This window comes from Homo sapiens, chromosome 11 (assembly GCF_000001405.40).
Source record: "Homo sapiens chromosome 11, GRCh38.p14 Primary Assembly".
Taxonomy (NCBI): Eukaryota; Metazoa; Chordata; class Mammalia; order Primates; family Hominidae; genus Homo; species Homo sapiens.
The window spans coordinates 126,357,423-126,372,379 of record NC_000011.10 but is presented as its reverse complement, the minus strand read 5'-3'; the positions used below and the strand labels follow the sequence as shown (position 1 = coordinate 126,372,379).

Below are 14,957 nucleotides of genomic sequence, written 5' to 3'. Positions count from 1 at the left end.
CTGCAACATGGATCAACCTTGAAGACACTATGCAAAGTGAAATAAGCCAGTTACAAAAGGACAAATACTGTATCATTCCACTTATAGGAGGTACTCAAAAGCAGTCAAACTCATAGACACAGAAAGCAGAATGGCGGCTGCCAAGGACTGAGGGGAAAAGGAGATGAGCCATTGACTAGCAGGAGGATGTTTCAGTTTGACGAGACGAAAAGATTTCTGGAGCTGGATGGCGGGATGGTAGCACATTCTAAATGTACTTAATGCCACTGAACTATACACATAAAAAGGGTTAAGACGGTCAACAGGTCAACAGAACCTTGTGCTTGTGCATTTTATCATAACCACCACCAAAACAATCAAAGGAATAAAAAAGAACACAAAAAGGCAATTCACAGATTAAATTCAAACACCTAATAGACAGAAAAGATGCTCAGGCTCACTAGTAACCAGGGAATACAGATTAAAACCAAATATAGTTTCTCACACATTGCTGGTGGGAGTACCAGTTGATACAAAGGCTTAGAAGAGCACTTCACAATATGTAGTCAGGCTGAACACGTGCATACCTTACAATCTGGCGATTGCATTTCCGGGCACAGCCCCGAGTAACCCTCCCTTGTACGGGACACCCCATTCAAGCATGTTTATTAGCAGTGTTACAATAGCAAAAAATGGAAACAACTTAACTATCGTCAGGAGAGGGATGGCTACATAAGCTGTGCTACATTCACGCAACTGAATATTATATAGCCATGTCAACTGAAGAAATTAATCCATACAGGTCAACTGGGATCAATGTGAAAACATAACATTAACTTTTTAAAGTGTTGCAAATAGATAAAGGATGAATCAGAAAACAGCACTAAGTTTGTGTATATTTGTAAATAGTGCGTGCTTATGTGTATGATGAAAGAATAGGCCAGGCGCGGTGGCTCACGCCTATAATCCCAGCACTTTGGGAGGCCACGGTGGGCGGATCATGAGGTCAGGAGTTTGAGACCAGCCTGGCCAACATGGTGAAACCCCGTCTCTACTAAAAATACAAAAATTAGACAGGCGTGATGGCGTGCGTCTGTAATCCCAGCTATTCAGGAGGCTGAGGCAGGAAAATCACTTGGATCTGGGAGGCAGAGATTGCAGTGAGCCGAGATCGCGCCACTGCACTCCAGCCTGGGCAACAGAGTGAGACTCCATCTCAAAAAAAAAAAAAAAAAAAGGAATGTGGGGAAGAATAGAATAGATCATAGTAGCACATCTTTAGTTCTATACTTGTAATATTTTATTTCTTAAAGGAAAAAATATCTAATATGGGATAAGGTTCACACTTGATAAATCTGGCTGATTATCACATGGAGGTCTGTTATATTAATTTTTACATATTTGAAATATTTTCATATAAAAAAAAGAACGAGGGCCAGGCACAGTGGTTCACACCAGTAATCCCAGCACTTTGGGAGGCCAAGGCAGGTAGATTGATTGAGTTCAGGAGCTCGAGACCTGCCTGACCAAAATGGTCTCTACTAAAAAATACAAAAATTAGCCGAGCGTGGTGGCACATGTCTGTAGTCCCAGCAAATCGGGAGGCTGAGGCAGGAGAATTGCTTGAACCCGGGATGCAGAGGTTGCAGTGAGCCGAGATCGTGCCACTGCACTCCAGCCTGGGTGACAGAGCGAGTCTCCATTTCAAGGAAAAAAAAAAAAAGGAATGGAGATTGAAGAAATATAAATTCAGAAGCTAAATAATGAAAGATTAATACACTCACATAAAGTTTAAGTGAGATACAGAGAGCAAGTGAGCAAGCTCATACTTAAAAGAGTAAAAAACTAAGAAGTGCATTTGCAAGATGTACATATATTAACTTATCAGTTAATTCCCTTAGCCTATAACATACTCATGCAAGTCTACCCCCCACTCCCCAAACAATGAAGGAACATAATTTAAAAATAAGCTAAGGCTATGAATATATACTTTACTGTAGAGAAATATAAATGGCACATAAGACATTTATCTACATTTAAAACTTCCGGTGTGGTTGAGATACCATTTTTCACAAATAGTAACAGCAAAAAACAAGGGTCCTGAGCTACACAGTGCTGGGGGAGTGTGGGAAGCAGGACCTCTCACAGATGTATGCTGGAAGTGAAAACCAGGCCACCTTCTGGGAAGACATTTCACAATATTTATCAAAATACCCTTTACCCCGGGGCTTCCGTGCCAGAAGCTTATTCCACAGAAAAGTTTCCTATATTTGCAAAGAGACTTGTCTGTTAGGATCTTTACTGCAGCACTTTTTCTAACAGCATAAGATGGAAACATGAAATCTATGCACAGGCACCTGTTTTAAAAAATTAGGCACACACAACGAAACACTATGCAGCTGTGAAAAATAGGATGCAAATCGATGCATGCTGATGTCAACTGATCTCCAAAGCATAATATTAAGATGTAAAAGGCAGGTGTAAAACAGTGATCTCCAAATGCACTTTCACAAAAGAATTACATGCATATTCAGATACATCTTATGTGAATAGAGTACTCAGAAGGATGCAAAACAAGGCTATTGCCTCTCAAGAGGGCGGGTGGGAGAGTGACTTTCTCTCATATTCCCATTTGTACTGCTTAACTGTTTCAAACTGATGAGTGTGATACATTTTGAAGTAATAATTTGATTAAAATAAAAAAAAGGAAGAAGAAAAAATAAGGAATGTAAATGTTGAAGTCTCACACTTGGACCTGAATTCTGGACCAACCATCACTTCTGGGAGTGTGAATGACCTTTCCGGGTCTCAGGTTTTCCACTGGGTAAATAGGGATTTTAAAAAATGGCACTATCAGCCAGCACGGTGGCTCATGCCTATAGTCCCAGCACTTTGGGAGGCCAGGCGAGCGGATCACCTGAGGTCAGGAGATCGAGACCAGCCTGGCCAACATGGGGAAACCCTATCTTTACTAAAAATACAAAAATTAGCAGGGCGTGGTGGCACACACGTGTAATCCCAGCTACTCGGGAGGCTGAGGCATGAGAATCGCTTGAATCCAGGAGGCCGAGGTTGCAGTGAGCCGAGATCACACCACTGTGCTCCAGCCTGGGCGACAAGAGTAAAACTCTGCCTCCCCCCCCCAAAAAAAAGAGAGAGAGAGAAAGAAAAAGGCACTATCTTGAAGGGAGGTTGCTTGAGCAAACAACGTACCTCCAAAGACAATTACTGAAATGGAAGCAGCTGATCTCAAGCCCTAGAACACGCATCACCTGTGCCTCTCACTGACTAGCCCTACTTGCCCTCCTTGTGTCCTACCCTGAGGACAGAAACAGCAGGTGGCAGAGCACCAGCCACAGTATGCACCCTGGGCAATCACGGCCTGGCCAGGGTGGCAAGTGAGGCTGGGCTCCAGCCCTCCCCCTACTTGCCAAACTGTATGCTCTGGTGCAGGGCTTCTCCAACGGGGTGGGGGAGGGGTGTGTGTGTTACCGTTCCTAATTTACAGGAAAGTGCTGTAGAGATTAGCAGCAACACCATTCAGAGCAGCTAACTTCCTCCTCTCCTCTCCAAGTTAAAACAGTGGGGTGCAAAGATCTGAGCGTGCAAAGGCCTGGGCATCGCCAGAAGCACCCCAGGGGAAGCTGGCAGAGCCACCCACCAGTGTTTGTCTTTCTCCATGCCATTTCCCCTGTACTCACAAGGATACCCTTCTCATGAGCAGGTGTGGCTTCTGTAGAGCTGGCTCCAGCCACCTTTTGTCCAGCTGTACCCACTTCCTAATTCCGGCACAGCTGGCCAGCCCTCTCTAAAGTGAGGTCACCCACAGGACTAACCTGTGTCCCAGGAGAGCCACGGAGGTCACATCACTCCTTCCCTACTTGTTCCACAGAAGGGCTGACGGAATAATACCCCTGTCCCAGCGCAGGCTGGGGACCCCAAGGCCTCCCCAGACTGTGAGGCTGGACAAGTCAGCAGAAACAGGAGCCACAGGGCCTGAGGGCCGACTGCGAGCAGGTGACTGACTTGGACACTGTGGCATGGCAGAATCTGGGATTTCTTTTTAGTAGAGATGGGGTTTCACCATATTGGCCAGGCTGGTCACTGACTCCTGATGTCAGGTAATCCTGTCTCAGCCTCCCCAAGTGCTGGGATTACAGGCATGAGCCACCACACCTGGCCCTGGATTCACTTTTAAAAATCATCCCTGGGGCTGTGCTGCAGGTGCTGTGCATAATCTTTTTTTTTTTTTTTGTGAGACAGTCTCACTCTGTGGTCCAGACTGGAGTTCAGTGGCGTGATCTTGGCTCACTGCAACCTCCACCTCCTGAATTCAAAGGATTCTCCTGCTCAGCCTCCCAAGTAGCTGGGATCACAGGCGCGCGCCATTATGTCCAGCTAATTGTTGTACTTTTAGTAGAGATGGGGTTTCACCATGTTGACCAGGCTGGTCTCAAAATCCTGACCTCAAGTGATCCACCTGCCTTGGCCTCCCAAAGTGCTGGGATTACTGGTGTGAGCCACCACACCCGGCCTGCTATGCATAATCTTATTGAAGTTTTCAACCAATGGATGTGGGATTACTCTTTCATTCTCATTTACAGATGGGGAAACTGAGGCACAGAGCAAATACATTAAGGGTCCCAAGATCAGAGAGCTCAAAAATGGTGGAACCAGGATTTAAAATTCAGCCAGAACTACTTTTAATCCCTACACTCTATGCACCTCAGATCTTCAGAGTCCTCGTCTTTTAAATGGGGGTAACAGCAGCAAGTCCTCAGAGGTGTCCTGAGCCTCAAAACACATCCTGGTTTGTAACGTCCGCAGCCTCAGCAGGGGCTAGGCACAGAACAAGCATTCAGGACCTGGAAGGTACCAGCGACACCTGGTCCTCCCTTCCCAGGCACAAGGCAGCCCCTCTCCATTCAAGCTCTGCCCCAGCCCAGCAAAGAGAGGGGTCCTCAGCCACTGCCCCCACCACTACCACAATCATACTCACCTCTCCTGGTCCATACGTGACAAAGGACCTGCCACGGCCAGGGAGACAGGCAGAGGCACTGCCACTCCCACTCTGCCCTGCCCTCGACTCAGATTCACCCATGGCCCAGCCTCAGGAGACGCTGCTGGGGTGTGGTGGCATGCAGAAGGGGAGGGGGAGGAGGCCTCTAGGGAGGTGGCTTTCCATCTGTCTGTCTGGGTGTAGCACCTCCTGGAGTTGGTGCCAGGCCCTGACCAGTTCCGCCCCATTCAGCCTTCCCAGAAGGGCTGGCACACGGATCCCTCAGCCTGACCAGACACCAGCCTCCTGTCATGAGCGGTGCTCCATCTCCACCACGGTGCCCCCTACAGGCAGGCCCCCCACACCTGAGCAGAGTCCACTTCCAGAACAGTGCTCCCTCTGCAGATGACACACTCTATCCAAACCCAGTACCCCAAAATCCCCAAGCAGGGACAGCAAAGGCAACGTTCAGCCCTGCAGGTGCCACAAATTCCAGCCCTGCCCCACAGTACAGCCTCTGAATTCAGGCTCTCGGCTCTGCTTTTAAGAGTTTTGGAGCAGTGGTTTCTGCGCTCACCCTGCCTCCTCCCGGAAGGAACCCTCACTCGGCAGACCTTGCACTCCCGCCTCCCCTCACCAGAACATCTGCTGGGCACTGAGACGGACACCATGGTCAGCCTGGTGCTTGATGAACAAGGATGTTTCCAGACCTGTGCAGCTGAGGGTTCGAGGGTCCACACCTGAAGTCTCATTAGGAGCCAGCAGGGTTAAAGGGGCTGAGCGAGTGAGAGGCAGACTCGCCAGAGGGGAGGGCCCTGCACACGGGAAGGAGAGTGGAACAGGGCCCCCAGATGAGGACTCAATGAAGACGTGGGAAGCGGGGTGAGGAAAGCAAGCCCCACCCCTCCCCATGTCAGTAACCTACACAGGCTTCTCCAGCACAAACACATTGGTCCCTACTCAGACACCCGGGAACCAGATCACACAGACACAGGCATGCGCACACACACACCCAGCTCTCAGTCCTCCTCCTCTCTGCACGCCCCCACCACCCCATGCCCACATACAGCTTCCAGGGCTTGAGGGGCTCCCCCAGCCAGGGCACTCTCTTCCTCCATTCCTCAGGGCTGGCCGTGGGCCGGGCTCAGCTACAGCAGCTGCTGCTGCTTTACCTCCCCCAGGCCCACTGGGTTCCTCCCACCCCAGCTCTGGCTCGTATAGACTTTGTTTGTCAGCTTGCAGGTCCCTGGGAGCTATCACCAGGCAGCCCGGAGCCTCTAAGGGGCAGGGAGTGGCTGTGCCAGCCCTCAGGAACCTCGTTCCTCCAAAGTCACGGAAAGGGGAATCCTGGGCTCCTCGCCCTCTGCCCAGCCAGGCTCAGCTCCCAGAAAGATTCTGGCACCTGAGAGGAGACCCAGCCACGCCTATGAGCCCCACAGGTGTGTCCCCAGCAGGCCTGGAGAGTGTCCCAGGGCAGCCTGTGGCCATTTGGCCGAGGGTACTGCAGAGCCTGCTGCCCCATGGAGGGCACTTCCTGGCCCGGCGCCCACACAACACACACTCACTGTCCTCTGGGCCCGTCTCAGCCTCTCTGCACCTGTGCCCAGTCCCAGTGACAGGGACTGTCCTCTCAGCCCACCCGGCACCCAAATCCAGGAACCTGCAAGGCCTTCCTCCAGCTGCCCCACCAGCCTGCTCACACTTTCTGGGCTCAAGCCCTGAGGCTTTAGCAATTTCAGGGTCATCTGCACCCATAACTGGGAGGGTGATGGGAGGGACAGATACCGGCCTGTCAGGGCCTGGTCACTACCTGGGGACAGAGGATTCCAGAGCCTACAACTGGTTCAACAGGTCTGGGCTATGGCCCACACCCACCTCTGCACACAGAAGCCAGCCCAGGGTCCCATGGAATATCCCAGGGCAGAGACACTAAATCAACTGAAGGCGATGCCAGGGGTCATGCCAAGTGCCTGAACTCTGGCTTCTCCATCATCTGTGAGGCCCCAACACCATGCCCTGCGTAATCTAAGGTCCTGGCCAGCGCCTCCTCCTCCTCCCAGCCCTGAGGAACCATCCTTGTCCTCAAGGTGGAAGAGCTCGGCCCTCAGTCCCCTGCAGCCTGGGATGAGCCCCACCCTCAGGGCTGGTGCACAACCAGAGGCTCTTCCCAAGGAAGCCTGGTGCCAGAAAACCCACACACTGAGGCACAGGCCAGACACAGAGCCTGGGAACACCCAGGAGAGCATGTCCCCCAGGGTCCCAGCCCCAACCGAAGCTGGGAGAGCCCAGAACCACCCGCCACCCAGTCCTCCTGGCCGCCCCTGCATGGCTGTTTCCTCCTGCCCAGGAGGAGCTGAAGGGATCTCAGCCCAGGACGTGATCCTCCCACCCCCACCCCCGAGAACACACCCAGGACTGGCAGCTCACCTGACCCTGCAGGGCTGCCAGTCCAGCTGTGCCCCAAAGAGAACATTCACTTCTTGCTCTATTTGGACAGCTGCAGGGTCAGCGATGCTCAGGAGAGAACGTCTGGTCACAGAGTGGGGAGTGCGGTGATCAGGGCCACAGGCCCTCTGATGGGGGTGGGCCAAGGCCAGAGCTGCATCCCTGGATGAGTGGGCTGAGAGGGGGCCCGGGACCAGCCTGGCAGGGCACAGGGAAAGGCTGCAGTTATTCTGCCCTCCTGAGCACAAGAGGAGTGGTCAGAGGGATTCTGGAACCAGGGCTGGGGCCTGGGGGAAGGCAATGGAAGCCAGGAGTGAGGGAGGAAATGGATTCCCCTTTTAATGGCATTTATTCAGTTACAGGCTGCGGCCAAGGAACAGCCTCCCACATCCAGCCCAACACCTGACCTCACCTCACCCCAGACAGGTCCCACGGCCCCTCCTCAGCCTATCCAGGACTGGTGGGAAAGGTCCAAAGAAAAGAAGACAAAGCATCCACAAGCAGAAGTCGGTGGCTGGACTCCACCCTCCCCTCCCCAGGAAGCAGGAGGCAGAACTGGGAGGTCAAGACCAGCACTTCCCCCTCCTGCTCCCACCCTCTCCTCCTCTCTGGCCCTCGTCTCCTGCCCTCTCCTCCCGGTCCCTGTGTCCTTTCCAGCCATCCCATCCTGGTGTCTCCTGGTCCCCATCTCCACCTCCTCCTCCTTTCCTCCTCTGCCCACAGCCCCTGGTTATGTAAGGGGCTTGGGAACACACAGAGGGAGCTTTGTTGTCAAACCAAATCCATATGGAGCCGGAATGGGCCAGCGCAGCTGTTCCCCATTCCCTCTGCCTTGGCAGGGTTGGGACTCCGGGCAGGGAGCCCCTGCACCCCGCCATTTTGGGAGATGGGGGACAAACACTTGCCCCAGGGCCGCCAGGCAGCTGAATGAGTGGTCAGGGATCAGTCTCCACTGTGTGGAACCACAGCAGGGGACCAGCTGGTCCCTAAGGCAGAACAAAGCCACAGTACAAAGCGAGGGTCACAAAGCCAACAGAGGCAAGCTCTGGGCTGGGGCAGGGCGACACGGTGCCGGGCCTGGGAGGGTGGGGAGTGTATCCAGACCCTCACACAGAACACTGTTGTGTGCTCACCTCAATGGGGTCTGAGAGTAGAAAACTGTGTTGGCCAACTCCCCTCATTCGAGCAGCTTCCCCTGGGAGAAAGAGCTCAAGAGAGAGGAGGGTGGAGGGTTCAGGTCCCAGGCTAGGGAAGCTTAGTCAGCCCATCTTTGGAGACCCTGAGGCCCCAGAAAGACAAGATCCCACCGTCCTTTGCAGGAAGATGTCCAAAGAGTTGCATGAGGGCTCAGGAGCTGAGCTAAAGATAAAAGCATTGCATACTTTGGGCAGGCACTGTCTCTTCGCCAAACTCAACTCCTGGAAGAGCCATTTTTGTTCGAAAATGCTGGAGCTGCCAACAGGAGGAGCTGACTCCTGCTCCCATGGGCTCCCAATGAAGGCTCTCCTGAACATTCCCGGCCTCCAGGCAACCCAACCCAGCCACCCCCAGAGTCCCAGTTCCACTATGAGGACAACCTGAATGCTGAGGCTGGAGAAAAAAGGCAGATCAGAGAAGCAAGGGCAAGGAGAGAATGCAGAGGAGGCAGAAAGGAAGGAGGAGGGATCACTGAAGATGGTGAGAAATCTAGGGGTGGAAAGAGAAGGCAGACAGAAAGGGATTGAAGAAGAAGAGCACGGCTCAAACAGGGACAGGAAGGAGATGGGGGCAGGAGGTCTAGAGAAACGGCCCACACTGCCTGTGAGGACAATCTCCCATACTCCATCAACACCCGCTCCTCGGCCAGCCCCTCATTCAGTCCAGCCCAGCTGGGGAGGGATTTCTAGACCACTCATCTTAGCCCACCCAGTCCTAGGGGCCTGGAGAACAGACCAGCTGAATGGGCCAGGCATAAGGTAGGGGCTGGAGAGGCAGAGAGAGAAGGGTTACTCCTGAGGCTCAGCCCAATTACCGGCTCCCTGCCTGTGGGGAGAGAGGTGCTCTGTGACCTTAAACAACTAAGTTACTTTTCTGAGTCTCTGCTCCCTCGTTTGCAATATGACAGCCAACCTCTGAGGCCTCTCCCAGCCTAAAAAATGTTTGTTTTGTTTGTCCATCACCAGGCTGTGAGACGTGGCAGATACTCTTACCCCAATTAACACAGATGCTAATTGAGTGCCAGAGTGCAAGACCTGCCCGAGGTCACATAACTGGTAAGTGGACGGGGACAAAGGATGCCAGGACAGCTCCTAGTGAGCCACCTGCCCCTCTTCCCCTGGGCCAGAAAGCAGACCCTCTTCAGTCTCTGGACCCCACCCTGGAATCCCAGAAAAGCACACCAGCCAGCATTTATAGAGTGCTGGAGTCCGGGCACTGGATGTTATCTGAAACATTATCCCATTAAGAAGTGTTGGCCAGGCGGAGCACGGTAGTTCACACCTATAATCCCAACACTTTGGGAGGCCGAGGCAGGTGGATCATTTGAGGTCAGGAGTTCGAGACCAGCTTGGCCAACATGGTGAGACCCCCATCTCTACTAAAAATACAAAAATTAGCCGGGTGTGATGGTGGGCACCTATAATCCCAGCTACTCGGGAGGCTGAGGTAGGAGAATCTCGCTTGAACCCGGGAGGCAGAGGTTGCAGTGAGCTGAGATTGTGCCACTGCACTCCAGCCTGGGCAACAGAGTGAGACTCCGTCTTAAAAAAAAAAAAAAAAAAAAAAGGAAGAAATGTTGGCCAGACACGGTGGCTCACTCCTGTAATCCTGGCACTCTGGGAGGCTCAGGTGGGCAGATTACCTGAGGTCAGGAGTTTGAGACCAGCCTGGCCAACACGGTGAAACCCCATTTCTACTAAAAGTACAAAAATTAGCCAGGAGTAGTGGCACACACCTGTGATCCCAGCTACTTGGGAGGCTGAGGCAGGAGAATCACTTGAACCCAGGAGGCAGAGATGGCAGTGAGCCGAGATCGCACCACTGCACTCCAGCCTGGGCAATAGAGCCAGACTCCATCTCAAAAAAAAAAAAAAAGAAGTGTTAATTTCTCGGAGAAGGAAATGGAGGCTACAGTGGCAGGCTGCAAGCTGTATCCAAGGCCATGCATGGAGGGAAGGGCTGAGAGCCTCCAACCTGCTTCTAGGAATACAAATCTCACAGCTCCATACAACCACCTCAGGCACTACCCCCAGAACCACCTACCTTTGGTTCAGCCTGAGCCCCACTGAGGTCCATGCTGGGGTCACCCCAGCACAGGGTTCCCTCCCTGTCACAGGCATAGGACCTGCAGGGAGTGGAGAACGCAGGGGGAGGAAGGGGGAGGAAGTGCCGGTGCTGGGTGGCCACGGAGGCTTCCCAGGACTGGGGCTTCAGTTGATACTGAAGGACATTTGCAGTCTAGCAAGGTCATTACCAACAATGCCCAAGCCATGTGAGGGGGCAGCAGAAGCAAAGGCGAGGAGGTGAGACCCCACACGGCATGCTACCAGAAAATGAGAACCACAGGGGGGTCACAACTGGAACTCAATGGGGGTTTTCAAAAAAAAAAAAAAATTAAAGCCAAGAAACCCTCTGTCACAGTTTCAAAAAAAAATTGAAGTGGAAACGCAATATGTACAAGGAATAAAAGTGGAGCTGTTCAGGAGGAGGCAAATGTGGGTGAACCCCTCGCTCTTCCAAAGCTGTCACTCCCTCTCAGGACCCAAGTGAGGGTTCCACCGTAGGGGTACCTTTCTTGGGCCTCAAATAAGGAGAGGACTGACATAGGGATTGGAGCTGAGGTCAGGACCTGTCTGCAGGGACCTGAAGGTTACTAGGGAGGGGTGATGGGTAGAGAAATGTGGCCAGCCGACCCTGTGGTGGGTGGAATGGGGCATGCACTCCTCAGGGGACAAGCTCCTGCCCATCCTCACCTGGGTTCCTGCCTGCCTCTCTGAGGTCTGAACAGAGACCCCCAAGGTGGCAGCACACAGATGGGGCCAGACCTTTCTCTGGCAAACAGCTCAACTGGCAAAAGGGAAACTTTTTCCCTTTGCCCTGGGAGGAGGAAGCAAAGTAAAGATGCAGCAAAGACAAATCAGCATACCTGAGCTGCATTTCCATCACTCATCACACAAGAATCTATTGAGTGCTTATTGTTTGCTAGACATCATTCCAGGCATTAAGAAAATACACCAGTGAACAAGACAGACACGCTCGGCTGGGCACGGTGGCTCACGCCTGTAATCCCAGCACTTTGGGAGGCTGAGGTGGGCGGATCACAAGGTCAGGAGTTCGAGACCAGCCTGGCCAACATGATGAAACCCTGTCTCTACTAAAAGTACAAAAATTAGCCAGGCGTGGTGGCGGGTGCCTGTAATCTCAGCTACTCAGGAGGCTGAGGCAGGAGAATAACTTGAAACCAGAAGATGGAGGTTGCAGTTAGCCGAGATCGCGCCACTGCACTCCAGCCTAGGAAACAAGAGCAAAACTCTGTCTCAAAAACAAAACAAAACAAACAAACAAAAACCAGCCTGGGCAACATGGCAAAACCCTGTATCTACAAAAAATAGAAAAATTAGCCTAGTGTGGTGGCGCATACCCACAGTCATGAGCAAGTCAGCTGCCTCCTCGCCTGCCCAGAACTCCGCGGATCCCTCAGCCTCTGCCCTCGTCAGTCCCTTGCATGACTTCCCTCCAAATGATCAGAACCCAGTGGGAACCCAGGGTATACCCCGGCTGGCCCCTAATTCTCTCCTGCCAGGAATCCCTCCTCCCAACCTGAGCAACCTCTAAGAGACAGGGAGGGCTGCCGGTGCGGAGCTTGTCTGTGGGCAAAACAGCTCACCATGTTGGAAGGAGAATTGGGTCTTTGGGAGCCTCTCTGGCCTTGAGCCAGCCCAGGACGGGCATCAAGGAGGGCCAGGCAGCCAAGGTGCTTCTGCCTGGCAGGAATCAGGATGCCAGACGCCAGGAGCAGCCACTTTGGCTGGGTTCCCTGTGCTTAGACCCCATAGGGCCCCTCCCCTTCCCCACGTGTGGCCGTGGTTGCCTTGCAGCCATGTGGGCGGCAGCCACATTTCCAAAGGAATAGGAGCTGCAGGCAGGCCAGATGGAAGCAATTGCCAAGGGAAAGCAGCAGAGGTGGGGGCTGGGGAGGCTGGGAGGGCCCACGGGGAAGGAGGGAAGGAGGGAAGGAGGGAAGGAGGGAGGGAGAAGAACCTTGTCCTGCCCCGCCCCGCCCAGCTGAGAAAGCGGACAAGCGTGTGCTCAGGGTACGGCCCGGCCGGGATGTGGGGTTCGGGAGAGCACTCAGAGGTCAGGGTTTGTGTTCCACCTTTGACACTAATACACTGTGGCCTTGAGCAAACCCCTTCACGCCTTTGAGCTGGGATCTGTTTCTTCATGGGGCAAAATGAGCAAACTCCAGGGGGCAGTTGAGAACTGGGCTGAAAAGTGAAGGTTTTGGAAGCAAGCCTGGATTTGAGTCCTAGCTCAGCTGCTTACGAGCTGTATGACCTTGGCCAAGTAACTTAATCCTTCAATCCTCCATTTCTTCATTTATAAATGGGCTTAATTACAGGGTTGTGTGAAGCTCACATGAAGGGACGTAAAGTGTCTAGCACATCTTTTTTTTTTTTTTAAGTTTATTGGGCCAGGCTTTTAATAAGTGCCTGATTGCTAAATGGTAATATTTTTGTTATTTGCTGAGGCCATTTTCATTATGGGGACAGATGTACAGATGTTCACCCATGCTGCAGTTGGCAGAGGACGCAGAGCACAAGTAGGGTCGCTGCAGACCAGCATTCCTTAGCACTCTCCAAACTGGTCCCAGCACTCTTTGGGGCTGCCTCCCCTAAACAGGAAAGCAAGATCCTGAGGACCCCAACCCCCATGCACAGGCTTGAATGAGCTGCAGGTGGGACAAAGGAACTCTCCTACTCAGGTGCTTCTGGGCTTCTGCAGCCAGGCCAGGCCTTCCTCACAATCAAGGCCCAGGTGGGAAACTGGAGGCCCAGCCAGACCCACACCTCACTTCAGCCCGAGCAGCAGCAACCTCCTCCCTGCTGGGCCAGCAGTGGCACCCAGGGCTTCAGTATAGGCAATCCTACCATCTTATCACATCCTATCACAGGGCAGTGTGGGGTACAGGGGAACAGAGATGGGGTTGTGGCCAGGCTGTAGGTCCCAGGTAAAGGGCTCAGCCAACACTAAAAACCCACAGCTCTGGACACCCACACCCTCTAACCCCGAAATGCAACAACCCAAGCAACCTTTGGGGGAATTCAGCCCCTGCAGGGCTCAGGGGCTCCAGTCAGAAAGCTGACCAGCACTTGGCTAGGGCCTGGGCATCGCACGCTGCTGCTCTCACGTGAAGCTACACTGACCACTTCCTCAGTCTGTAGAATAAAGGACATCATTCACACACCTCCCTCCCCGAAATGTGGCAGGGGTTGGGGTGATTCTGAGGCCAGGGACAGCCAGTAGTCCATCCAGGGCCACTCAGGACACTCATACAGAAGCCTCTGGGAAGGGGGCAACAAAGAAGAGGGGGTTAATAACAAGAGTCACCCAAATCTGCCTACACTCACCATTTCCTCCCGGCAACCAAAAGCTTCAGGTCAAGGTCGTGGGTCTTGAGTAGGAAGGAGGATCCCAGCGTGAGGGAAACACGGAGCGGGAGCTAAACCACCAGCAGGGGCCTGTTGCAGGGAAACGTCCAGCCGGCCCAGTGCGACTGAACTGAGGGGGCAGGAAGCAGGGGCTGTTTGCTCGGGGTGTCCCACCCTGCACTGCTGGACTGCCCCGCTCTCCAGCATCTAAGGTCCATCTCCGAGGGGCCAGGAGCTGGGCTAGGCTCTAGCGGCTGCCTTGATGGCAATCTGTAGGCTTGGACTTCAGACCCCACTTGGGGCCCAAGCTCCCTCTCCATCCCCTGCAGGCCCCCCAGCCAGCTCCTTTCCCTATCGGCCCAGGGTCTGGAACTTGGCAGGCACGGAAACATTTGTATTAGTCCAAGATAGAGGGATCCCTTCCCTCCAACAGATGGTGCAAACCTTTGAGCCATTCTGAGAAGAATTCCCAATTCCATTGGGACAACCCCAGGAGCAGCCTCTCTGAGGAGAGACCCAGAGAACGTGCCCAAGTCAGACCTGGGGTAGCCCCCAAAGCAAGGGCAGATGGTGGCCAGTGGGGAGTTAGGACAGAATGACAGCTCAAGATGGAGCACAGAAAGGGGGTTTGGTCTCTCTGCTCCTGCTGGGGAAGGGAGCCCTTTCCAGGATTAAAAGTCCAGAAAGGAGCAGATTCTTAGTTCTATCCAGAAAACCGGATTCTAGGAGTCTAACGAGGTTGGGAGGCTGGCGGGGGCACGGCACTCTCTTCCTGAGAAGCAGAGGGCCAGTCACTGCTTCCCGTAGGGAAGGCAGCCCAGAGGCACCTCAGCCTGGGCCGCCAGCTCACAGAGAAGGCGGCCCTGTTGTCTCTGAACAACAACCCATCCCCAAGCTAAAGACAC

The 14,957-nt window shown here is 53.3% G+C and overlaps 1 protein-coding gene across 13 annotated transcripts in view, besides 2 other annotated features; it reads right to left on the bottom strand.

The window, feature by feature from the left end:
• ST3GAL4 (ST3 beta-galactoside alpha-2,3-sialyltransferase 4) overlaps nt 1-14,957 on the bottom strand; it is a 58,953-nt gene that overhangs the window by 42,259 nt on the left and 1,737 nt on the right. For 3 of the 13 annotated variants that reach the window (NM_001348396.2, NM_001348397.2, XM_047427426.1), the window contains exon 2: nt 14,032-14,182. The exons of 6 other annotated variants lie outside the window; for them this stretch is intronic. In NM_001348396.2, the coding sequence (NP_001335325.1) occupies nt 14,032-14,034 (3 nt within the window). In that variant the 5' untranslated portion in view covers nt 14,035-14,182. Of the gene's footprint in view, nt 1-4,978; nt 5,005-6,045; nt 6,109-12,287; nt 12,422-14,031; nt 14,183-14,957 lie in introns of those variants that run through there. 4 more of the 13 variants (XM_047427425.1, XM_047427423.1, XM_047427421.1 and 1 more) reach the window with 4 other exon arrangements.
• Nucleotides 7,277-7,794: an enhancer, noted in NCBI's record as "H3K4me1 hESC enhancer chr11:126234481-126234998 (GRCh37/hg19 assembly coordinates)". NCBI's record gives its function as "activates a minimal SCP1, AML or CMV promoter by ChIP-STARR-seq in naive H9 embryonic stem cells {active_cell/tissue: H9 hESC(naive)}" and the evidence as "EXISTENCE:reporter gene assay evidence [ECO:0000049][PMID:30033119]".
• Nucleotides 13,345-14,086: an enhancer, noted in NCBI's record as "H3K4me1 hESC enhancer chr11:126228189-126228930 (GRCh37/hg19 assembly coordinates)". NCBI's record gives its function as "activates a minimal SCP1, AML or CMV promoter by ChIP-STARR-seq in naive H9 embryonic stem cells {active_cell/tissue: H9 hESC(naive)}" and the evidence as "EXISTENCE:reporter gene assay evidence [ECO:0000049][PMID:30033119]".